The sequence below is a fragment of the Homo sapiens genome, chromosome 6 (assembly GCF_000001405.40).
Source record: "Homo sapiens chromosome 6, GRCh38.p14 Primary Assembly".
NCBI lineage: Eukaryota > Metazoa > Chordata > Mammalia > Primates > Hominidae > Homo > Homo sapiens.
Genome location: NC_000006.12, coordinates 14316009 through 14343053, shown reverse-complemented (window position 1 = coordinate 14343053; position 27045 = coordinate 14316009). Strand labels below are relative to the sequence as shown.

Sequence of the window (27045 nt, the reverse complement as noted above, 5' to 3'; positions counted from 1 at the left end):
GGATTAGGAGTCCACCTTACTCCAGTATGATGTCATCTTCACTTCACTAATTAAGTCTGCAATGACCCTATTTCCAAATAAAGTCACATTCTGAGATATTGGGGCTTAGAACTTCAACATATGAATTGCAGGGAGGCACAATTCAACCTATGACAGATATTGATCTCTAAACTTCTCTGATCCTGCCACGCTATCAGTAAAAAGTATGTTTGCCCATGCACCAAAATATATGTGCATTTAAGTATTTGCAAATTACACATACTTGCTTTTGCACTAATGTGTACATTAAGAAACTGCTTTAGATCAGTTCTCCAGAGCACAGACATTGGGGCTCTGAGATTTGTATGCAGAAACTTTACTGGGGAGAGTGGAATGGGGTGGAGAGGAAGGTGAACTGCAGTATGGATGCCACAGAGAGCTCAGAGGATTCAGAGTTCAGGAGCACAGGAGCCAGGATGGCCTTCAGAGCTGTCCAGAATTGAGGCCAGGACTAGGCTTTCTACCCACACACTGACCAGTCATTGCATACACACTGCCCAGGATGAACAGATCTCTTGGCCAAGGGCAATCTCCTATGAGCTGCTCAACCATGAGCCATTGGTAGCCAACTGCCCCGCCAGCTGAGTCCTGAAAGGGCATCTAGATGGTGCTTTATAGCTGACTCCTCAAAAACAGACCCTCATCAAAAACTTTAAAGGGCTGGCATGAAGTTAAACATACACAGAAGTTATCAAATCTTCTCTGATAATCAATAAATCTTGCATATTCCCAAGATATACAGAATCTACCTTTTAGACTACTGCTGGGCTAGACCAATGCTGAGCATATAGAAAATATACATTTTAAGTTTTAATAGAAACTGGGGCTGGGCGCGGTGGCTCATGCCTCTAATCTTATAAATTTGGGAGGCCAAGGTGGGCAGATCACTTGAGATCAGGAGTTCGAGACCAACGTGGTAAAACCTTATCTCTACTAAAGTCTGGCCAACACGGTGAAACCTCATCTCTACTAAAAATACACAAATTAGCCAGGCGGTGGTGGCGGGTGCCTGTAATCCCAGCTACTCAGGTGGCTGAGGCAGGAGAATCCCTTGAACCCAGGAGGCAGAGGTTGCAGTGAGCTGAGATTGTGCCACTGCACTCCAGCCTGGGTGATGGAGTGAAACTCCATTTAAAAAAAAAAAAGAGTTTTAATAGAAACTGGTAATTGTCTCCTAAAGGGCTACACTACATGATGCTCCCATCAAGAATGTAGGGTGGCACCCACTGCATTTCTGCCCTCTCCTACCAACACTTGATATTATAGAACTTCTTAAATTTTTACCAACCATGGGTTAAGAACATCTCATTCATTTGTGTTTCCCTAATTCCTAGACAAGCTGAAAATCTTTCTTTTTTTTGTGAATTGCATGTTCATACCTTTTGCTCGTCATTCTTTTATGTTATGTGTCTTTTTCTTACTAATGAGTAGGTATCATTTATATCTTTGACTACTAAATCTTAATTCATTCTTAAGTGTAGTAAAATCTGATAGCCATAAATACTCCTGCCTTTTCCTCCCTAACTGTCTCCTCATTTTCATGTGATGAATTTCTCTGTGAGACTAGACAGACAGCTCTGGTATTGTCTACTTGGAACTGAAAGATGTGGAGCCTTGGTCCTAATATTGTCACATTCTAGTTGGGTGGTTGATTGATCTCTCTGATCCTCAGTTTTTTCATAAGGAAAATGGGAATAACCCTACTTCCCAAGGTTGCTATGAGGACTTAATGAGATTATGTGTGAAGAGTTATTTATCATTATGTTTTATTTTTTAGCCTTTATTATAGAACTGTAAAAGTCCAGATACATACTATCACCTACAAAATCCGTTCGTTCATTCATTTGTTCATTGCTCACTAAATGGAAATTTATTATTGCCAGCCATTAACTCTGTTATGCGTTAGTGGATCCAGGAGGAGAGCCATAGGGGAAAACAGATATAAAAAATAATGAAAGCCCAATCTGATGAGGATAAGGAAGAACACTGCATTCCTTCTCATGTTTTACTCTTAGACTCGAAGAAAGGTGTTACCATACCTTCCAGACGCAGGGGATGGAGGACCACAGCTATATTTACAAATTCCCTCTCTGTCCCAATAAATCAGAACTTGGCATTCCCTGAGCAGTGTCTTAGCCCTGGGCCCTGTGAAAGTTCTGTAGGTAAAGTCCTAACGACTTTTGCACATAAGCCTCCCTGTAGCAAATCGTGTAGGCATGCCTGGCCATCTTCCTCACCTCGCCTCCTCTTCCTGCCAGTGACTAGGTGAAGGATGTTGGCTGTGTCTGGAAAGGCGGTTGCCTTAAAGGGATTTGGCATTGGCTCTGCAGGCCTAGGTATATTCTTCTCTGTCTGCAAGTGCCCCCTGAGTATGTAAGTTACCAATCAGATATTTGTAATGAAAGGTAAGGGTAGATTCAGCCCCAAAAGGAACCATGTTTTCCAGTCATGCTTTTATCAGAGAGCCCTGCTTTTGCAGTGAGCAGGATTTTGTGCATCTATTAATACAGGATTACGTTCCCATTTCTCTGTTGTTCTTGAGTTAGTGCTCGCCTGGTTATAAAGACATAGTTTGCTTAAGACGTAGAAAGAAATTTCATGCCATTGAAGCTTCAATAAGGTCCAGTGGGTAGAGGTGCTGAAAAGGTAGGTTTCAACTAAATTGTAAATGCCTTTGTATTCTAGATTTTGCAGTGGTGGGAATCAGTATGTTTAAAATAGGAGACTCACATGTTCAGATTTCATTTTTAAGAACACAGCATTAGTGTGATAGAGTGACAGGTGGCAGGAAACTTCCATTGTCAGCATATTCTTCTTCCTTCTCTAGCCCTTTCTCCTCTCTTTATCCTAACAATCCCAGGAATATCTGGAACATAGTGCAAATAAGCCTGCCAACTCTCTTGCCAGCATTCTGACCACAAGGTTAGGAGATAGAAACATACTTAAAAGGAAATCACACTTTTCTTTTAAAAGTTTAAAAAACAAACTATAAGGCAGTAAAAGAGATATAAAAGCTGAAGTTGCCCTTGAAACCTAACTTCCTTTTTTCAAGTGTTTTTCTCTTCATTCATAGTGGCTGCAACTGAGGCCTGTGTTGTCCAGGCACCTGCCACCAGGCCCCTGGCCCACACTCTCTCCAGCTGCACTGTTAAACTCTTTCTCTCTCCTGAGGTTTTAGTGTCTTGTGTTTTCTTTTCCCTGTGGCCTTTCATAACCTTCCACTTGGATGTTTTAAGATGCAGGTTTTATTATCATTCACGTATGGTGAGGCCAACTGATCATGAGACAACTGTCATTGAAAAGATAGTTTGTTTTACAGTCAGAGCCTGAGAGGAGAGGAACACCATGCCGTGGGAGAGGAGGGCACCCAGAGAAGCACCAGGTGGGTCAGGGGGAGGAGGGAGTGAGGGGAAATGTGACAAATCACAGCTTTGACTATGGTTTTGTGGGAGGCATTGTAAGCAGGATTAGGATTGGCTAGTGTGAATAATTCCAGTGGGCTCTGGCACACAGGGGCTCTCCCTAGTTGTCTGGTGGCTGGTCTTGGGGTGATCAGGCTAGGTGGAAGGTGGCCCTGAGTGTAATAGACCAATATAGGGAGAATGGGCTCTGGATTGGTTGGTTTGCATTTGAAAGGTGCACTTACATACAGACAAGTCCTTTACTCTCTCCAGGAGCTGGCTAGCCCTGGAAGGGGCAATCTCTTCAGGACAGGCAAGGCCCCAAGATACCAAAGCACGAGAATAAAAGGACATGCTTCATATGCACATATTCTTCATGGAATACAAAGAGTTTATTGGACACCATTTTCCTCCATGGGTATCCTTGTCTTTCTCTATTTTTTTTTCTTACTAGTCACAAAGCTAATTCTCTTTTAGAGGGTCTCTTTTCTACCAACTCATGACCCCCTTCACTCAGCCACCTCTTGTTGAATGTTCCCTATAACGAGACACGGGTCCATTGGGTCAATTTGCTTATGGTTGTGTTTAGGCACCATATTTTGTGGACCTGCCTCTCCCTAGACTGAAAGCAGAAGCCATGATTTGTTTGTTTTGGTGACCCCAACACTCTCCACAGTACCTTGCACATAGTCAGGACTTAATACATGTCTGTTAAAATAAATGTTGACTAAATAACATATCTATTAGTATCAGGCCAACATTATTTTTGGCCAATCTCCTAGCTTTATCATTGAAAATAAAATCTTTTGGAAAAAAACAATTTGCTCAAGGTTGCACAGCAAATAGTAGAGGAAGCAATGTTAGAATCTATGCTTGTTAGAAATTATAGATTGGAGTGACATGAAAAGATGATTATTCACTTGGGTGTTTTGACGGTATTTGGGCCAGAAATTTTTAGAATGTGCACATTCTGTCCTCAAGTAGTCTTACCTCCCCACAAGACCCCCAGAAGCAATATATGCATGGAGAAATAACATGCAAAGCCAAGCAACAGTTTGTTTTTAGCTGAGACTTCAGCCCCTAAAACACAATGCACCTACCTGAGCTGGGCCAGGTCCTGCCTGAGTGAGCTCTGCCTAGAATCAAAGCAGAGAGTCCTGGTGTCATTTGTTTCTTCCCCCAAACCTAAGCTTTCAACTTTATCACCCTGGAGAGACCAAAAGCCAATCCAAACTTCCAGAGAGAGCCAGAGAATGAGAGCTCTGGCCCAATGCTAGAATGAAGCTGACCTAAATTTTCCGCCCCAAGCTTTCTTAGGCCAGCCAGGTTCCCATTCCATGGGGAAAGAAAAAACATCTAGAATTGTTAGTAAGAGAGGTAAGGAAGTGCCAAAACAGGGACAAGCCTATCTTTTAATGTACAGTGCCTTCATCCATGACACTCACTCCTACATTGGCCAATGAAATATCACAAAATGTGACCAATGACAGCAACACCTCCTTTTGGGAATGAAGATTTTTCCTCCACTCAAAGAAAAGGGGATATCTCTGTTTTCAAAGGAATGGGAGAGCTCTGAGCTTTTTCTGAAAGCAGATGGGATAGAGTGCTCCTTTTAGTTTGCACCAATCCCCACCATGTTGCCTCAGATTAGGAGTTTTAATGCAATTTTACTTCTGCTATACCTTTACCATGCACTCAGGTTACCTCCCTTTGTAAGCAAGTGCCTCTTTTGATCAAAGCAGGTGACAGTGTTAAGATTTCTATCTCCACAGAGAAAGAATGGAATGTATGTGTAGAAAAGCTAATCACGGCCAGGTGTGGTGGCTCACACCTGTAATCCCAGCATTTTGGGAGGCCGAGGCGGGTGGATCACCTGAGGTCAGGAATTCATGACCAGCCTGGCCAACATGGTGAAACCCCGTCTCTACTAAAAAAAAAAAAAATAATAATAATACAAAAATTAGCTGGGCGTGGTGGCAGGTGCCTGTAATCCCAGCTACTCAGGTGGCTGAGGTAGAAGGCTCACTTGAACCTGGGAGGCAGAGGTTGCAGTGAGCCGAGATCACACCACTGCACTCCAGCCTGGGTAACAGAGTGAGACTCCATCTCAAAAAAAAAAAAGAAAAGAAAAGAAAAGAAAAGCTGATTGCAAAATTAACCATAATGCATACAACATGGTGTTGAAATACTTAAGCAACTGCTCATTCTGTTAGGCAGAAAATGTTCTTAGATCTTGAAGTCTACTCTAGCCTGTATATATGAATCCACATTTCCTGTAAAAATACATCTGCCCCTATTTCCTGGTGGCATTGCGAAAAGCGCATATTGCTTTTCTTCTACAAAGCTACCGTTCTGTCATTTCCTTTAGTTGTGAGGTCTCCTACCCTTTTTTTCCAGTGATTACTAAGCTTCCCCAGAAAACCTTTTTTGGCTACCTCCATCAGGCTTCATTTACAGAGCCATGCCCATCTCGTTTCTGTTCTTCTGTGTCCTAAGTCTTAGTACTTATTTATATACTTTTATCCCACTAAGGAAAGTTGGGTAACTGATTCCAGCTTTCTGTACCTTGTATTTATGTCTCACACAATTTGGGTCTCTTCTTGTTTTCTTCTTGGAGTAGATACTTCTTGAGACAGGGATAATTTCCGGAGCTTTGGCTGGAGTCATCCAGGGCCTAGTCAAGAGCAGTTCTCTGCGCAGAATGAGCATTCAATAAATATCAGCTGACTATGGTGATGAGTAAATGAGGATGTACTCAGGGTTGGTAGAAAAACTAACATGTAGTCTTCTTGCGTACTTTTGCTATCAAAGCCCTAGTTGCTTAGGTTATTTTTTCCTATTATAGTTATAATAGTTACTTTCTAGGACTCTTCCCTTAACTTAGCTAATAATTCTTCCCTTAGCTTCAATACTTTCTCCAGATGTTGTAAGTTATTGAACAGGAAAAAATGCATATGACCCTGATCTTATTAAACAGCATATTAATCAGAAGCCAATTATTCTGCCCAATACAAATGTGTATTAATTTTGTATTATGTGCAAATATTTAGGCACGGGCCCATGTACACATATATCCATTAACTAGTCAAATACCTAAATTAAAAATGGCAATCTGAAAAAAGTTCCAAGTGCAAAGGTGTGATTGCTTTGAAAATAGCCAATTTAGGAAAGTTTGGCCTTTAATTGGCCAAGTTAAACAAGGCACAATTACTACTAACTTGGTCCCCAAAGACTGGCTCTAATCACGTCATGTTTAACTTGGCTGGTTAAATTGCAAATAGTATTCTCTTTTTCTGATTTGGTTCATTTGGCTGATATAATCTCCTTCTGTGGCTTTTTCTCTCCTGACTTAGCTCTTTCTGTGAATGGAAGCTCCATGGCTTAGGAAATACAGATCTATTTTTTAAAAAACAGCAAAATGTGTGTGTGGTTTTTGTTGCTGTCTTAAACAGTTTCTGAGAAAACTTTATAAGCTCATAGTTATAAAAACATGACAGATTCATCACAAAATTAGTATGCATATGTCAAAGGTTTTATAGACCTGATATCTCAAAATATTCTTGCATATTTTTGTTTGCTTTACATTACAGGTGAGGAAGAATTTTTTTGTACTAACTCTAGTGTCTTCTGTTACCGAGAGATGAGAACTCTAACTTATACATTCAATGTTAAATGAGCCAGCCCAGGGAGACCACACAGTTCCATGAGGGCACAGAGAAGGATGGTTAAACATTTATCTCTATTTTTGTCTGAGAGCATCAGAATTCAAAGAAGTCCAATTTCTTAGTTCAGAATGGTCAATTGCATGCATATTAGATGAAAAGGGCATCTAATTTCCTATGTACTACCATGGAATACATCAATCTAAGAAACAAATTATTTTCTCTGGTAGAGAAACACATATACACATGTGTGTTAAATACTCACTTATTTACTAAAAACAATAAACATTTAAGGAGGAATTACAGTGTGTCAGGTTCTATATTAGGTGTTGGATATGCAGAAAGGAGTAAGACAATTTTGCCTTTAAAAACCTGTAGCATATATTATATGTCTGTATTGGGTTATTTGCACTGGATAAGTCAGAAAAATAATGGCTTTAGATTCCAAATTTTAGCTCCCCCTACTTCTTTTTAGTTTATAACACAGATAGAGCTGGTCTTCAGCATCTTTCCCTTGCATACCACCATGTGATTCTGTTTGTGCCCCCTCAGTGACATTCCATCTCCCATGCCAGTTTCCACTGCTTTCATGCTTTCTCCAACCTCAAAATGAACTCTTAGGAAGAGCTAATTAGTCTACCCTGGTTATAAGGAATTTCTAATAAGAACTTTCTGTATTAACTCTCCCGTGGTTATTTGCCTTGAGGCAAAGCCAGCAAAACTGTATGCTCATGAAAGAAAGATAATTTTCAGATACCTTCAGGTATATTATTTACTTGTGAGTAAGCCACAGCTACCAAATAATTTCCATCTGAATTTGCAGCTAAGTCTGAAGTTTAACACTTTCTACGTTTTCTATTCCACCAAATGTCCTGCTTTCAGGCCAAAATCTGCATTGTGGGTGTGGAAGGGAGGAGAGGGGATCCCCCCCACAGTATTTCAGGTCTACATACTAGGCATGGGGATACTACAGTTTGTACATTTATTATCAAAAGTAATATTCTGATGTGCCTTTATCAGTTGTGCAGATGACCCCCAACTTACGATGGTTCGGCTTTGGTTTTTTGACTTCACAATGGTGTGAAGGCAATAATCCTTCAGTATAAACTGATTTTTGAATTTTGGTTTTTGATCTTTTCTTTGGATAGCAATATGTGGTATGACACTATCTCAAAATACTGGGCAGTGGTAGTGAGCACATTGCCCAGTCAGCCCTGTGAACACGAGGTGACACACCTGATACTCTACAGTGTACTGTGCTGCCAGATGATTTTGCCCAACTGTAGGCTAATGTAAGTGTTTGAGCATGCTTAAGGGAGGCTAGGCTAAGCAGTGATGATCAGTAGGTTGGGTATATTAAATGCATTTTCAACTTATGAAGCAATGGGTTTATTGGGATGTAACCCATCATAAGTCAAGGAGCATCTGTATTCTTTTGGAAAGATCCAAGCTTGTGGCCCATACTGATCAATTTGGTGCATCAGCATATTGTTCTATTGCAAAGTTTTGACTTTCAAGTATGCATATGAAAAAAAATGATACTACATATAAAATGTCTGCTAGTCATGTTGGTAATTAAACAGAAAGCAAGCCAACAAATAAAAACCAGCCAATAAATAATGAATGGAGCATGAAAACCAGAAAGCCCAAAGTGACAAAACTGTCAACAGTATTGGACTCTATACTGTAAATGATAATTTTACAATTAAAATAGAATTTTTTTCTTCTGGGACTCAAAGAAAAGTAATGATGGGATAGGATGATGTGTGTTTCCAGGAATGTCTGACATCATAGGCATTTTTGTTGTTTTTCCAACAAAATCTTACCAGAGTAAGTGGGTTACAAAGAGGCAATCTTATCAAAGTTGGGGGACAAGATGTTAAGCCTTGCCTCCATTACACATGCACACACATGTGCATATGAGCCACAGCACATACTCACATGTGATTATAACTGTGCAGTGGCTCTTGAGGAGGCTTCGCAGGGCACAGTCAGAAAATCTCTGCCTTAAGTATTTACCCTGACCGAACCTGAAGCAATAATAGTCGGGTTTGGCTCAGTGCCTAAACTCTAAGTTTGTAATTAGTCCCAGAACAAAAAAAGAAATTCATGAAAAATGAGTTTTGGGAGGGAGGGTGGGAGAAATCTGGTTTGAAATGTCTGTATTTGCTTATGGGGACATGTGCAATTCACTGGGAATCTTGAGTCTTGGATTTAGCTTTGGTTACTAACTGATCTGATGACCTTGAACAAGTTACTTAAGTTCTCATATTTTTCATATTTGTCCCTATTTCCTCGTACTTGTAACCACAGAATTGCAACAAATGATCTCTGTTGACGATCCTTTATGGAGAAGCTGTGTGCTATCCTATGTAGGAAAATATATTCCAAAGACAAACACGAAGGCGCCTAAAAATTCTTTCCCATGAACATTCCATTTACTGGGCAATAAATAAATAGAAGAAAACAAGGTCATTCTGCAAAATACAGCCTGTCATTTTCAATAACTCTTGTCACCTTTCACCAAGCAGTCCCTGCTGGCAGTGGAACCAATTCTTAGATTTAGAAAAAATGTACAGCATGGTGCTTCAACTTCACCAACTGTCTTAAGCTGCCATCCATCCATGGTGAAAAGGAATCCAGCAGTGGGGACCAATCCCAGTGTGATGCTCCAAGGTCTGGCCAACCACTGTATGTGCAGGACCTTGATCCTCTCACTTTCCTGGATTTCCAAGTGGATCAACCATACAGCATGAAAGGCATTATTAGACAAGAGAAGCATGTCATTGGGATGGACCAAAGCCATGTGAAGATGACTTAGAGCTCCATGTACATGCTCAAGCATTCATACACAATTATGTGAGACAACTTGGAAGTACAGAACCCCTTGAAAGGTCCACAAAATATACTCATCACTTTCTTCCCACAGTTATCTTGTCCAGCTCCTGTTGGAGCTCTTTACTTACAGTTTTCCTATTTGTTTAGTTGATGCCTTTCCGCCCATGTCTTCGATTTCCTCTAGTAGAAGCAAGAAGTTTGCTAATCGCACTGTTGTCATTACAGATAATATTGACTATATATTCTGAATGTTGTGGTCAGCCTAATGAAAATGAAGCCCATATAAAAGGCACACAGTCAACAGGCATATTGAAATATGCTTCAAGATGACTCCAGATATGTTTACATATCATTCAACTCATGCTCAACTAAACTATTCCCCCTTTTTTTTTTGGAGACAGGGTCTTACTCTGTTGCCCAGGCTGGAGTGCACTGGCATGATCACGGCTCACTGCAGCCTCAACCTCCCAAACTTAAGTGATCTTCCTACCTCAGCCTCCCAAGTAGCTGGAACTACAGGTTTGTGCCACCACACCTGGCTAATTTTTATATTTTTTGTAGAGACAGGGTTTTCCCATGTTGCCAAGGCTGGTCTCAAACTTCTGAGCCCAAGCAAAGTGCTGGGATCACAGGAATGAGCCACTGTGCCCAGCCTAAACGATCCCCTTTGGGGAAGATCTTTTGAGACATCCTATTATAACAATTCTGGTACTATTAATTTCTGAAATTATTGGATAACCAGTTCTCCTTAATTAGCTTGGCTAACTGAAATTTTCTTATATAAGATTAAGAATGTTCACCTCAACATTGGGTTTTATAGGTTGTATAAGTTCAAGTGAATAAGCAGGGCAGTTTGTGTAATTTAAGTTCATGTTCTATGTGAAGAAAGAAGGAAAATAGGATTTCTTTAAAACAATACTAAAACCTAATTTGATCAATACTAAATTCTAAATCTGTACTCTGTATAGTAAAGCTATACAGGCTATATATAGAGAGAGAGAGGGAGAGAGAGAGAGGAAGAGAGGGAGAGAGAGAGAGGAAGAGAGGGGGCACACGTGACAGAGAGGGCACGAGAGAAAGTGCACAATTAAAAAAAAAAAACTAAAACCAGTCATTTATTCATTCAACATTTATCAAGCAACTACTATGTACCAGGCATTGTTCTAGGTGCAGAGTAGACAGAAAAGAGTAAAACAATCTAATCTTGTGAATTTTTTTGTAACGATATTTTTGACATAGGTAGCACATTGTAGAGAAAAATAGATTTGAGAAGTCACATTCAGTCATGCCTTCTTAAAGTTTTAGTGCAACTATATGTAAAGGAAATGAAAACTCTGATATTTTATCAGAATTTACCAGTACAATGAAAATGGGCCAAAACATAGAATAGGTAGGGGAAATTGTCTAGATTTAATAAATTCCTATTGGTTATTATTGCACAGCAGATTTTCACCTGAAGTTACATTTGTGTGACAAAGAAGTGTTACCTAATAATCAAAACTATTTATCATAAGAAATAGGAGACATAATGGGAAAAAGCAGTAGCTCTTGCTTGTAGTTCTGGGGATGGGGAATTATCCCTGAATCTCAGTGAGCCTCAGTTTTCTCCTTGGTAAAATAAAGGAAAGAAATTGTCATTCTACCTTGGAATTAAGTAACATCTATAATTAGTGTCTTCTTCCAGCACAAGCTAAATTTGTGAGGCCAGAGACCACACCTGTCTCTTCTCCCACGATGTCCCAAGTACCTTGCTTAGTTACAAATTCTACAAGGCACTCAGAAATATTTGTTGAAAGACAGCAAAGGTTTGTTAAGATTATCCTGAGGGTGAGATGAGAAAAATACATGACAAATTACTCAAACATTTTGAAACATTATTCTTAAGTTACAGAATTCACTTCGTATCCTGCTGTTTTGAGATTTTGCAGTTTGGGCGAATGCTTGATCTCTCTTCAGGGATAAGTTGCTCACCAGGAAGACCTCTGGGCCTAAACTTTTGTGAACAAAATCTGGCTTAGTTGCTAGCGGCATTGGTATTTCCCAACTTTGCCCTGAGCTGGCTTATCATTCCCAGGCATTTCAAAACGAGGTTTCAAAATGAAACTTCATCTAAGCCTCTGAAAGCATCATCCACTTTTGGCACCAAGATGGGATTTTATGATGTTCAGGGGCAAAGGTGCAGACCCCAGCAGTTTTGCTGAGTCTGTCTTTTCTTTTTTTTTTTTTGAGAGGAGTCTTGCACTGTTCCCCAGGCTGCAGTGCAGTGGCGTGATCTCGGCTCATTGCAACCTCCGGTTTCCAGATTCAAGCAATTCTCCTGCCTCAGCCTTCTGAGTAGCTGGCAGGCGCCCGCCACCACGCCCGGCTAATTTTTTGTATTTTTAGTAGAGACGGGGTTTCACTGTGTTGGCCAGGCTGGTCTCGATCTCCTGACCTTGTGATTCGCCCGCCTCGGCCTCCCAAAGTGCTGGGATTACAGGCGTGAGCCACTGTGCCCGGCCTGCCGAGTCTGTCTTTGAAACAAACTGCTTTTATGTAATGAATGACTAGGAGGGAAACCCATGCAAACCTAAATTAGGAAAAGATTTGGACAACCTCCTGAGAACGCAATTGCAGTACGTCACGCAGCTTTAATCAGTAGTCAGTTTCTCCCTGTTGGTCTTCAGAAGAAACCAAATTCTTTCCCAGCTGCCAAGCACAGCATTTCTTCATCCACGTCTACCGTAGTTGGTTTCCAATGAGGCGGTTGTTTGTCCCAGTTCCCAGCCATCTTCCAGGCAGAGGACCATGCTAATTCATCACTCACTCACGGTTCTAGGCGAGCTCAGTGAAGAAAATGCATTTTCTTCAAAGGTCCCTATAAAACAACCACCCTCACAAATGACCTGTGAGATCTCTGGTCCCCTAGCATCTTCCTCCCACCTCCACCCAGAATGGCAGCATTGCGTCTCCAAGCCCCTCCTTGCTGCACTATAGACGACCAAGTCCCCATCAACCAGCAGGCTCCATCTCATGACTGAGCGCGCTCCCAGACGTGACCATCTCTCTACCACCCTGCCAATTCCATCTCAAGCCAATCCTCATTCCAGCCAGTGACTTCGTTGAGGTCCCCTCTGAACTCCAATCCCTGAGTATCTGAGAGCTGGCTCCTGACCATTCTGCAACACTGCCCCAGTTAAACTGTGTGCCGCAACGTGATGACCACACAGTCTGGCATCACATCTGAAGCATTTATTTCCCTTCAGGGACATCAATAATATATTTTTTCCTACCTTCAATGAATGCCCTATTGAAACCCCTACGGAAAGGCAACTAGCTGTTAGGGACATTTACCATCAGCATGGAAGTTCCGAGGTTTTATGATGTGTCTGACAGAACCAGACACAGATATCTTATACTGGGCATTTATAATGTCCTGGAAAGCCAGCGTTGCCCTGCTTGCACCTGGAGCCCTGCTGAGTGTTCCTGACTGGCGATTGTACCCAGATGTCACACTTAACTGTTGATGTTCAGTTTCTGAGTACTGAGTAATGTAAGACCAAGACAGGCCCAGGGAAATCTTGTGTAAGGAGATGGTCTCCGTTAGTATGTGTGCATATGTGTGTGGTGTGTGTGTGCAGGTACACGTGTGTGTGTGTGAAGGGGTAGTATTCTAGCAGGGAAGGATTAATTCTTCAGAAGGGCTAGGGAACCCTGGCGAAGACATACCTGATAGCAATCATTAGGGAGAAAAACCCTAAAAAGTTCTGAAGGTCAGCACGCTGTTCCTGGAGAGGAGAGCGAAAGCAGAGATGTCCCCTCACCTCCATCACCTCTCCTTCCCTCAGTGTCACACTCAGCTCCTTACTGGTAGGGAGTGCTTTTTGTGCCCACCAGTTCAGGGCAGCTCCTTGTCACCAAAGTGCTGGGAAGATGCAAGGAGACAGCCTGGCTTCCTGAGCCACCCCGCAGCTTCCCGCAGATGCGCCTAGCCCCATGCACACCAGCCATGGCTACGTCCCAGGTGACTGTCTACATAGACAGAGCAGCAAGGCCCCTGGGCCCATTGACAACCCGAGACAAGGCCAGCGGTGACAAACACCAAGCAGCTGGAAGAGAAGAAGGGGACTTGGGGAAGGAACCTCCCATGAAGAAGCTGAAGTCAAAACTCTGCAGGGAGAAAATGACAGTTTATCAACTATTGGAAAAATAAGCTACTGCTGCTTGATGCTAAGAAAAATGAGTGGTATTTATTTATTTATTATTTTGAAATAATTCCAGACTTAGAAAAAAGTTGCAACAGAACAAAATATTTCCAAAATAACTTTACCCCACATCCCCAAATGTTAGTATTTTGCCTTTACCACATTTTCTTTGCCGTACTCTCTGTGTGTGTGTGCATACATATATATATAATTTTAATAATACAACTAAGAGATATAATTTTCTTTTCTGCACTTGATCTTAGCCAAAAGGCCGAGAAGCAGTATGTAATTTTCTTTTCTGAACTGTTGATTAAGTTGCAGGCTGATATGGTTTGGCTCTGTCTCCACCCAAATCTCATCCTGAATTGTAGCTCCCACAATTCCCATGCGTCATGGGAGGGACAAAGTGGGAGATGATTGAATCATGGGGGTGGGTCTTTTCCATGCTGTCCTCATGATAGTGAATGAGTCTCATGAGATCCGATGGTTTTATAAAAAGGAGTTCCCCTGCGTAAGTTCTCTCTTCCCTGCCGCCATGGAGAATGTGACTTGCTCCTCCTTGCCTTTCGTCATGATTGTGAAACCTCCCCAGCCATGTGGAACTGTGATCCAATTAAACCTCTTTTCTTCATAAATTACCCAACGTCGGGTATGCCTTTATCAGCAGCATGAAAATGGACTAATACACGGGCATTATGTCCTTTTACTCCTAAATTCTTCAGTTAATATCATGTAATTCATAGACTTCGTTCAAAGTTTTAAATTCTCCTAATCATATACTTTATAGCAAAATAAAATACTTTTTTTTCTGGCTCAGGATTCAGTCCAGGATTGTGTGTTACATTTAATTGTTTTGACTTTCTAGTCTCCTCTAAACTAGAATAGTTCTGGAGTATTTTATAGTCTTTGTCTCTCATGAACTTGAAATTTTTGTAGAATGTCCCTCAATTTGGATTTGTTTGCTGTTTTCCCTGTGATTAGATTAAGATAATGTGCTTTGGGCAGAGAGGCCACCGCACAAGATGTGACTCCCTCATGCGCTGGGTCAGGAGGCACAGGACACCTATTTGCTGGGTAAGTGATGAGGTTAACTTTGATCATTTGGTTAAAGCTCAGCCTGTCGGGTTTCTCCACTATAAAGTTACAACTGGGTCTTCGTAATTAATAATAATCTTGTTGCAAGATACTTCACAACTAGGTCAACATCCTGTTTGTCATCAAACTTTCGCTCACCAATTTTAGCACCCACTGATAATTCTTCCCTCAATCCACTATAACCGTGATATTTGTCAAATGATAATTTCCTAATTTTATTATTCCTGTGACACTTATTAGTTGGCATTCCACTTCCTTTTCTCTTATTTTTTATTTTTATTTATATCAATGTGGACCCACAGATTCTGATTTTATTCAATAGATAATAATCTGTTAATGTGGTATTGATTTTTAAACAGTGACGGTAAAACATTGGGATCTGGAAGGCCGTACAGAAGCGTTGCCTGACTTTTGAAGAGTCCTGGGATACAGTTTCCTTAGAGATAACTGGGAAATGGAACTTGGGAGCTGTTGAGATGTTGTGAGACAAGTGAGATGTTGGTTTGGATTGTGGTCAGTGAAGGAAACTGAGCCCACGTGCCCAGCCTGCAGCTGTCCATACTAAGTGGAATTAGGAGATAACATCTCCTCCAGAAACCCAGTATTTGGACCTTCAAAAGGTTGCTGTACCTAATGGAAATCAGAAACCAGGAACTGGAGGGTATGCTGGCCAACCTAATGGCCATGAAGGTCAAGTCGGTAAAGGCTTCTCTAATTTTGGAACTAATTTGACCTTCATAAAAGGCAAGGTGAACAGTGAGCTAATCTGAATGAAATATGACCCAGGGTCAGGAGAGCCTTTTGAAGGAATTTCTACTGACATTCTAGATTCTAGGGCCCTCTCATCCTCTAGGCTTCCTTTCCCCTCTACTGACTTCCTCTTTCATCTGCCTCTTGCTCACCTCTTCCTTCTCATCATCAGCTTACTTTTATGACTTTTCTTTATTCATTGGCTTGTGCCTTATGCACTCAGGGGCATAGCAGTCTCCAGAAGGTTGGTCCTCATATCAGAGGATTTCGCTTACTGAACTCTCCTTAGAACTGGAAATACCTCTCTGTGCTCACCTGCAAGTTTTGCTTTGCAGAAACTGTGAAGGGTCTCGTATTGGTCAAAACTCTTTGGTTTCAAGAAAGAGAAATCAAATCAAGCTCATGTAAACACAAAAAGACATTTATTATCAACATAAAGAAGTGTTGGAATGAACCCAGGAGCAGAAATATCAAGAGATCTGGGAAGGGATTAAATCGTATCTGAAGAGTTGTCCAGACCCTCTGTGGTTTTGTCTTTGTACCTCTTGTGACATCAGTTTTATTATCATTTCTCTTCTCTGCAGATTGAGTTTCCCTGCATCCCTGGTCCACATGGTAGAATATGCCTACCCCTTTGGATCCAGAGTTTACAGGAGATGGTGTCATTGAAATTCAGGGAAAGAGAAATCTTTGTGCATTAGGCAAATAACCCCATAAATATCCCCTATGGTATTACCTCCAAATTTACTTAATTTATGTCTTAAATTTCACTATTGGTAAGTCACTATTTTGTGTTAGAAATCCTTTATCAAATCTATTTAAAAGAATTTTAAATGGGATTTAAAAGTAAATTGGTGGAAAAAAACAAAAAAATTAAAGCCTATGCATAATCTATCATCTAGTGATAGTACTGTAAATTTTCTAGTGTACATTCTTCTATCCTTAACTCTGTGTGTGTGTGTGTGTGTGTGTGTGTGTGTATGTGTATGTATGTGTGCATATTAGACACATGGGAATAATATACATATATTGTCTTATAACTTGCTTGTCTCACTTAATTATCAGTATGTTACCTTGACATTTGCATTTCTTCTGCAAAACAATTTTTTTTTTGAGATGGAGTCTCACTCTGTCGCCAGGCTGGAGTGCAGTGGTGCAATCTCCGCTCACTGCAACCTCTGCCTCCTGGGTTCAAGCGATTCTCCCGCCTCAGCCTTCCTAGTAGCTGGGACTACAGGTGTGTGCCACCACGCCCAACTAAGTTTTGTATTTTTAGTAGAAACGGGGTTTCACCATGTTGGCCAGGATGGTCTCCATCTCTTAACCTCATGATCCACCTGCCATGGCCTCCCAAAGTGCTGGGATTACAGGTGTGAGTCACCACACCCAGCCTGCAAAGTAATTTCTGATGGTATGACTGTGCCATAATTTAACCCATTCTCTGTGTATAAGATATTCTTTGGGTGTCCACTTAGCTCACAAGCTAACCAGAGAATTAATAGCCTTTGCTCCAAAGATATGATAACACTGTGGCTCGATTCTTCTGGTCAAAATATATTGGCCTGGAATGAACCCATAAACTAAGCTCAGCAAAGAAGATTATCCTTCCTAGGAAATGAAATTTGGAGCCTAGAGACTCCCAGTTTCTTGTGGAGTTATAAACCATTTTGGGGAGGTGTGGAACAGCCATATCCTCCCATGATAAAGAAGAAGCAGAACAGTTGGCTAAGATACGGATAATTGGAGAAGATTTTTAGAGAGAAGCAGGGACAAGAGACGGAAGGAAAGAAATTCCTTGGACTCCCTATAATTTTTCATTTTCCAGTTTCAGTCCTGTGTTGGGTTGAGTGTTGCCTCCCCAGAATTCATGTCCCCCTGGAACCTCAGACTGTGGCCTTATTTGAAAGAGAGTATTAACAGACGTAATTAGTTAAGGATCTTGAGATGAAATTGTTCTGAGTTTAAGGTGGGCCCTAAATCCAATGACTTGCGTTCTTATATGAAGAAGAACAGACACAATAGGTTATTTTCAGTTTGTGGCCATTATAAATTATACTACAGTGAACATTCAAGTGCATACATTTTAGTACACATTTCCAATTATTCCCTTAAGATAAGGTCCTAGAAAGCGAATTACTGAATCAATGGGTGGACTAATTTTTAAGACTTTTGTAGACCAAATTCTCCCCTACAAAGTAGTATAAAAGAGAATGCCTATTCTCCTCATCCTTGCCAACAACTACAAAATATCTTTCAGGGTTTTTTCCTTAACTTGAAATGCATGAAGTTATTCATGTAAATGAGTTGATCAGATCATTTTTTCTGCTCCATGGAACATTCTAGAAAATATTAGGCCCTGAGTTTGGGGACCACGCAGGACTTGCTACAAGGATTAAGGAAGTATACACATGGAGGAAGGTGAAGGCAAACATCCCTTATCTCAGTTGTGCCTACGGCCCTGCTGACCCTTCCACCTTGAGGATGTGGGTGTTCCCACATCTCTTCAATATATCACTGAAGGTGACCTTCAAACAGTGATTTGGAGGAAGAATCCCACGTGACCTTTTACATCTTATTATTATTATTTTTTTTTCTGGAGAGGTGGAAGTGATATTAGCGGTAAAATGATGGAAGAGCACCCGTATGTTCCTGCTTCTGAAGATTAGTGTGGCCTTTCTCGCCACTCCGTTAAGGACAAAGATGAAAGTGTGAGGCTGGAACAGCGGAGTATAGAGCTGATGGGTGATGTCACAGTCACCAGTGCTGGGGAGAGAGCGGGGACTTTTTAAAAAGAGTTGACAAAGGCTATAAAAGCATACAGGTTAGGGTGAAGGAAGAATAGGCATTATTTCAATACTAAGAAGAATTGAAAGCCAAAGATATTAGTCATCAAGCTCTTTCTGTACAGTTAAGTTAAATTAAAACTCACCCTCATAATCTGCCCAGGTTCTCTGACACACACACACACACAGTTATACACATAAATGGGCGGCACACAATTCTTCAGCCTCTGCCTGCAGAAACAAAATCAATATCGTGTTGTACATAAAACACCTATTTAATCTAAAATTACATTTTATAGTCCATTTACCCCAGCAGAGTAGCCCAAAGTCAGTCACTTCTTTCTGTTCATTTCTAAGCTGCGGCTCACTTTTCATTGTTCTCCCTGTCAGTGTTAAACTTGTGAAGGGGCTTTGAAATAGACAAGAAAAGCTCCAAGAGGGAAACTGCAGCTCGGAGACCCTGGGTGAAAAAGGCACGGTGCGCGCACACACACACACACACACACACACACACACACACACACACATACTCGCACACACGCCTCTAAGCGGGCATGTATTTCTTTAGCTTTTTTTTTGTTCTCCCAGTTCACTGTAGCATGAAGAAAAAAGAAAGAAAAAGAAATAAAAGCCTCAGAAGACAGTGTCCGTGTGTGTGTGTGTGTGTGTGTGTGTGCGCGCGTGCCCCTGTGGTTCTATGTGTTGGGCACATGGGTTATGATGTCAAAACCGCTGACACAGAATCAAAGTGAAGTCCGTAAAGTATATTCTCTTCCTTAGGGGCCTGGGTTTTACTTGCGTAATCTATCCCTCCGTCAGTCGATTCAGTCCTGGCACAGTGTATCAGAGTCTAATTCATTCTTTATGTAAGAAAGAGAAAATTTCAACAAAGCAGTACTTATGCTGAGCTAAAACAGGCCAAGCTAACACCTGTCATCAGAAGCATCGTGTATATAGTTCAGAAATTTTCACAAGATCGTGTTAATAGTTACTACCTATGGCAGTGGCAAACTCATTCCATAAATGCATGTGGATGAGAAATGTAGCTTTCTTTAGTTTCCTTGAACTCAATTTCTATTCTCAGCCTCCATCTGTACAGGTGACTGAATGTGTTCTTGGTCAGTTCAGGGTCCCGTCATCTCCCACGTGAATTCAGGGGTAATGATGTCCTCTACCAAGATGCCAGGCAGGATATGGGTCCCCACTGCTCTGTGTTCACATTGGCATCCACTGAGTGCCACTGCCTGGCCTCATCCTCAGAGATCCACGCACACAGATGGCTGCACCCTCCCCTGTGGCTCTAATGTTCTGTCCTCCTCCATTCACAGGATTGTCCTGCTGCTCCTATCCACCCTAGGTGTCCAGAACTCTAGGACACCCCAGCCACCTCTCTTCCTCTCCCAGGCACATGGGAATCTTTGGGTACACCCCTCTCTGACAAGCTCCACAAGGTCCCTTGTAGACCCCACACAGCCCTCTTCCCTCTGGAGTCCCCTTTCCCCACAAGGCTCTCCGTGAAAGGGAGGCTGAGAGTCCCTCTGCTCTCCTGTCCCTCAAGCCTGCCTGGGACCCAGTGCTCTCTTGGCAGATGCATATGCATATGCCTTTGCTTAGCGACTCATCTCTCTCCTCCGATTCGCTGCTTACCTCCAGTTCAGGGAATGTTCTCAGGTTTATAGAAGCTGGAGCAGATGATCACGTGGATTCTTTCAACTGCCCTTTTGTGCCCATCCCTTGGCCTCTGTGTACATTTGCTTTTAATGGCATGCACCTGTGACTCTCTTCTGAGCTCTACCCTTGGACATGCACACGCAGAGAGCCTGAAGTGTCTCGGAGTTTAGATCCAAATCTCCCGACTCCCAGGGTGATGTTTAGCCTAAGACTAATGGGTAAGGGAGTTTAAAAGCTCAGATCTCTTATCTCGGGTTGGCACACACTCTGAGGCATCATTTATACTCAGATGTCCTTGAGGGATGAGGCTGAAGTGAGGAATTGTACCCCCGCTTGGCTTCTCCCCTTTCTGTAGTACTAGGACACTGGTGTGCCATCCAGATTGGGCCTGAGGACTGAAGGACTTCTCCCTCAGCTACTGGGAGTGCTGCTGGAAGATGGCCCTCTGCTGGGCGCCCACATGGGAATTCCCACAACTGAAGAGAGTAACCTCCATCCAAAGCCATACCTGTCTCAGGGCAGCCTGCATCCAATGACTGGTCCATGCAGGAATATGAAGACCCAAATGTGTTGCCCCAGTTTGAGATGGCTCTGAAGGGTCACTCCAGCCTCAGATCTCTCCTCTGGTCAGCCAAAGGCTTTCTTGACATCACCCCAGAGCCCAACTTCTTCTCCTATCCAATGCTGCTAAAGTCCCTTCCTTTTCACAGGTGGAAATACTGAGTACATTCCCAAGAACTTCCTGCACATTAACAAGGAGCTTGGTGCAGTGGTTTGAAATGTGAGCACTGGAGACACACTGCTGGAATAGTGAGCCAATTCTGCTGCTCACCAGAGATGCTATGATGGGCAAAATACTCCATTTCTCTCTACCTCAGTTTTCTCATCTGTAAAATAGGGGTATTAAGAGTACCTATCTTACTGAGTTGTAGAGAAAAACAAACACACACACACACACACACACACACACACACACACACACATAAAAGCATGCTTTAAATGTTACGTATAACACAGAAAGTTCTCAGGAAATGCCAGCTATTTTATAATGCTTACAAGTTCTTTGCATTTTTTTCTCAGGGCAAGACTTGAAATTCAAAAGCCAGGAAAAAACTCCAGGCTTCCCCTAGGTCACTGCTTCCTGAGATAATGAATTTGGAACAGTCTAGCTTGAAAGAGGTGAACAGGTAAAAGGAAGAACAGGCAGGAGGAAAGGGGGGAAATTGGTTAATATTTTAAAATATTATCCTGCTGTGTGTACTTAGACCCTTTCATCTCAGAATAAGCTTACGCATGTAACACGGAAAAAATCATCTCATTATCTTAAGATTTTTTTTAATAGGAAATCACAATGTTTGGTCACCATCTTCAGATCCTTAAAGTGCTGTTTAGCCAAACTTCAAGCTATAAGTTTTCAATTAAACCTTTTCTATTCTGAACAGGATCATAGAGAAAAAGACATAATCAAATTAGTCAAAATAGTGTAGAAATAGCCTCATTTGGTGGGAGGGGAGGAGAAAGGTTAGTTCTCTGTTAACTTGACAATGAATTCTCCCCAAAACAAAGAACAATGTCGTTTCACATTGAAGGGCTATTTCGGACTCTGCAGATGTAAAAAATAAGGTCTTATTTTTAACAGGTGTGCACACGATGTTTAGCTCTTGACTTGCAAGAAACCTTTCCCCTCTGGTATAAAACAACAGCTTTAGGCATTGCCTGCTAATGAAAAAACAAGTGTAAAGGGCTCACCCCTTCTAACCTTCATAACTGAGAATCATCCAGTTCTAAAGCCAGCAACGTTGGGGGGACACCTTATTGACAAGAATGCCAGAAGTACAGCTTGGATTTGGAATAAATATTTCTAATCCCTCTCTGGGGGAAGTGAGCTTAGCACAATGAATCCGCAGGCCTGGGCTCTCCTGAGGTATTTTTCTCTTTCTCCCTGGCATGGATAAAATCTAAACTGTACTTAAGAAACGGTGTTAAATGTGTTAGTTGACTGAATCTGGCATTTATAATGCAATTTAGCAAAGTTTTATATTGACAGCATGACATTTTTAAAGGGCCCTTTCTGATTAACAAGGTTCAGAATCACTCCCTTGATTATGCTTGCAGAGTGAGTATAAAACGCTGCAGGCTCTGGAAGCAATGAATCGGGGCTCTGTTAGCATTAGACACATTTTGCTTTCTTAGTGACCATTCTGAGGGAGGATCAGGCTGGAACTGCATTTTTTAGGACAGAAGAAAATCTGCTTTCTCACTTCGGGGGACCTTTTTTGTGAGAAAAAGGCCTCTGCAGTCCGAGGAGAGGCCGTAGATTCCAAGCCCAGGCCGAGTAACTTGTCCTTCTGGAGGTCCCAATGTTACTTACCATTTTCTTAAAGCAAGTCTAAGAAATCCAGCTTGGGGCAGACGGAAGAGGGGCAGAAATTTCTCTCTCCAAAGAGCAAATTGACAGTTTTAAATTGATCTTAGCTCCATTATTTTCAATGAGTCTATTAAACTAAATATTTCCTGAATATCCCATAAAGAATCAACGATCTCATTTGGAGGTCACAAAGGAAAGATGGGAGAAGTGTCAGGCATCTTTTTACAAATGGAGCAAGGGCAACACAGAGCATCATAAATGGTTCCAGCTGGTTCACAGTGGACTCAGACCTGTGTCCGATCTCCTGCAAATGATGATCGTAGCAACCATCTATTGAGCTTCCAGACATGTGCCAGACACTCTCAGTGTGCCACCTACAGTGATTTTCAGTGTATATTATATGTGCGGTAAGCTATTCATAACAAATTTACCATTTTAGCCATTTTTTCAATTACAATTCAGTGGCATTAATTACATTCACATTGCTATGCAACCATCACCACCATCCATCTCCAGAACTTTTTCATTATTCTAAACTGAAACTCTGTGCCTATTAAACTATAACTGTCTCTTCTCCATGCTCAGTCCCCGGTACTCACCATCCTACTTTCTGTCTCTATGAATTTGACTATTCTAGGCACCTTATGTAAGTGGAATCATACAATATTCGTCCTTTTGACTGGCTTATTCTACTGAGCATAGTTCTTCATTCACCCATATTGCAGCACATGTCAGAATTTGAATCATATTTCATTGTATGTACGGACCACACATTTTGTTCATCCTTCATCTGTCAGTGGCCAGTGGCCACTTGGGTTGCTTCTACCTTTTGGCTGTTGTGCATGATGCTACCATGAATATGAATATACAAATGTGTGTACATGGGTGTATGTGAGTGGACAAACCTAGCTTATCTCTGATTTCTGTGATAACCCTGGAGCAGAGGTTTCCAGGTAAGGAAACTAGCACTCAGAGAAATGACCTGCCTAAGACCATACTCCTGGATAAGTGGTGATTCTGGGATGTGAAGCCATGTCTATCAGCCATACTCCCTACCTCTGTCCCTTAGTTCAGTGCAATCCATGTGCTCTGTCCATTCAGCGTTCGTACTTCTGTAGATAGCAAGTATTCTTTGGGACAATCTCTTTTTCATCATCAGTTGTGATGTTTTCTATTGATGGATTAAATCAGAAACTCACAAGAATCCAATAACAAATGCCCAGAGACTTCCGAGATGTTGAATGCCCCTTCCTCAGCATGCAGGGAAAAGTTAAGGAAGCTGGGAACTTAGGAGATAGGTCCCAAGCATGCCTGTACACTGGGATCCACCTTGAAGGAGGAGGGAAAGAGGTTTCACTCTCAAAGCATGTGTCAATCTGGGATCAGAGGGGAGAGACCAGACCCAAGTGGGTGCACAGGTGTCTAATTCTCACCCCCTGCATTGCAGGCCACCAGGGGCTTAGGGAAAGGGATATTTAGACCAGTCCAAATAAAAAAACTTGATGTTCCTGATACTTAAAATTACATTTCCACCTCTCTGGGCCTTGGACTCCTTACAGATGTTTCAGGAATACTATTTTGAACCCAAAGGGAGAGTTTAGTGTGTCTGATCACTTGTGAGCAAATCCAAAATAATTCTATTTGCAGAATCTTACTTGCACAGGTTTTGCTTTGAACTAAGGGGAGAGAAGGAACAGGGGATACAGCACTCAAGTGAGGGTATAAGTGGGTGCACAACTGTGTCAGTGTGGCCGTGAGTTGGTAGAGGTTAGTTGTGTAACACCACAGGGCACACACCCTGCAGTCCATGTCCCCAGTAGAAGGCAAGGGAGGGAGCTCCCCACTGGCATCCTAAGCCCCCAGACCTCAGGGAGCATTGGGTGATGTGGCATTCTCCAGGGAACAGGGGGCAGTGGAGGTGGGGAGAAATCTTCAGGCAACTTAGGGAGCAGAGGCTGTCACCACCTAGGAGCAACTAGAGAGGAAGACAATGACAGGTGCTAGTGACAAACCGCTACAGATGGGGGCCGTCCAGACCTAACAGGGTGAGACCTTGACAGCGATCCTACCTGCGTGGGAGGGGCAACAGCTGAGACATCAGGCTATTGTGCTGTTTCTCTGGACCACTCTATCTCCACAGCCTGATGCTTTTAGAAATCAGATGGTACCTCCCACCCCTAACATCCTATGACTTGAAGCAGCAATATTAGCAACGTTCCACAGAGTCCAAGAAAGACTTGAGGAACCCACCTGGGGGGCAGAGGATCAGTCAGCACACACACTGCAAACACCATGACAATGTCAGTTCCTTGAAAACAAGTTGTACAACATGTTGTTTCTGATGAGCCTGGGACCCACAGCTCCGTGCTGCTGATTCCAGCACTAATGTGAGACTACTGGGCCCAGGCACAGCATCTGAGCTCTGCGTCCCCCTCCCCCCAACACCGTGGTCCTGATGCATGCCATCCAATCCCCCGGGCACACTGCAGCACTCCGTGTCAAAGCAGTGCCTGGCAGCATGTCACAATTAAAGGACCTATCAGCATTTCCATTCTAAATACCCCCTTTGGAAGGATTTATTATTTGTCCATTAAAATAAATTGAAGGCTTGCTGGAACACAGAGCCTCAGCATGTAAGCAATTTGTTGGAAGGGCTTTATTTTCGGGGGTGTGTGTGTGTGTGTGTGTGTGAATGTGAGACTAGATTCAAACCCAATTTATTTGTAAGCTAACAGAAAACACCAAAGGAACACTTCACAATCAGTATTTTTTTTTTCTAGAAACAATAGCAAAGGACAGTCAAGGAGTGTAAATGTAACCTGGAAAGGAGCTGTCAGGCATCTTTCCTCTTCCTAAATATCAAAGCCAAGCTCTGTTTGTGGCTCAGCCCCAGTGGATTGATCTATCGACTATCTAAATGACAGAGCTGCAGACAGATGGCGCCTGTCCCAGGCAGTTTCTCCTGGTGGTTTCCTGTGATGGGCTGACATCCCCCAGTTCTGGGGAACGGGCAGCACCCTAACAGTAAAGCCACTGTTAGCAGAAACTTCTCCAACAGAAACTCCTGCCAGCCATCACCCCTTCCTCTTCTGTGCTTATTATTGGGGGAGGAGAGCCCTAGGCCCAAATCATAAATCACCTCCAACACCAGAGTACACACTCTTAATGTTTGTGTTTCCAAGTGACTTTGGGGGCGGGGGAGGTTTGGGCTGGCCGCTTTTGTTTGTTTTAGAGACTGAAATGTGATTTTACTAATGCAGTGCTGGAAGAGGCTTTTGCTAGGAATTTTCAAAGATTCTTGTCAGTACATTTCTTAACCTAAGTTGGCAGGACCAAGAGCTGAGATGAAAAGGAAAGAAATCTCAGCAGAAAAAAAAAGCCAGAGGTTTACCCAGAGATGGCTTGGTGAGGTAATGAGAGCCACCACATCACTCTCGCTGCTAGCAGGTGCCAGGTCCTGTTCTAGGAGCTACCAATGTATGGACACAAGCAATCCTAACGAAAGTCTTGTGAGGCAGGAACTGCTGCTACCCGGACTGCAGAGGATGCTGAGGCCCTTGGAGAGTGGCTTGCCCAAGGACACACGCAGGGAGCATGGCGTGGAGGAAAGGATTGGGCCAGGCACTGAAGCTGCACCCACACAGCCAGCAAGCCCGGCCTGCTCTCCTTTCACTGCAGCATATGTGCCCCAAGAAAGGGCATCCTGGGTGAATTTGAAGGAAAGGATAGTCTGAGCCTTTATTTTTCACCTTGAAGATAGGTTTGTCTTCTTACTTGGGCACTGAAAGGAAGTGTGTGTGTGCATGTGTCTGTGTGTGTGTGCGTGTGTGTTTGTGTGTGTTTATTGGTATGTGTGAGGGTGTGCCCATGTGATGGCACAAGGCTATGCGTTGTATGCCTGCTCTTTATGCTTGATGCCATGGCTGTAAGAACCGAAGAGAAAGGACTTTAGGGAGAAGGCATCTGGTCCAGAAGCACGAGGTGACCGTCCACAGCCCACCTCACACACAGCCCCTGTTGGTAGCACAGTGGGGCCTGCAACGCAGGCCTCCTGCTCAGTCCAGAGCTCTTCTGACTACAGAGGGTCCTTTGACAAAAGGAAAGGTGGGGGTAGAGTTTGCTCCAGGTGTCAGAAAAGACCAAATGAGACCAGTCCAGGAGGGAATTCATGTTAGCCGGACAGTCTCTGGTGCTAGGGCTTTCCACGGTCTTCCAGTAAATTCTAATCCTCGTGTAGGAAACACACTTGTTACT

The 27045-nt window shown here is 42.5% G+C and overlaps 1 annotated feature.

Annotated features, from left to right (window-relative positions):
- Positions 12323-12824: an enhancer, noted in NCBI's record as "H3K4me1 hESC enhancer chr6:14330461-14330962 (GRCh37/hg19 assembly coordinates)". NCBI's record gives its function as "activates a minimal SCP1, AML or CMV promoter by ChIP-STARR-seq in naive H9 embryonic stem cells {active_cell/tissue: H9 hESC(naive)}" and the evidence as "EXISTENCE:reporter gene assay evidence [ECO:0000049][PMID:30033119]".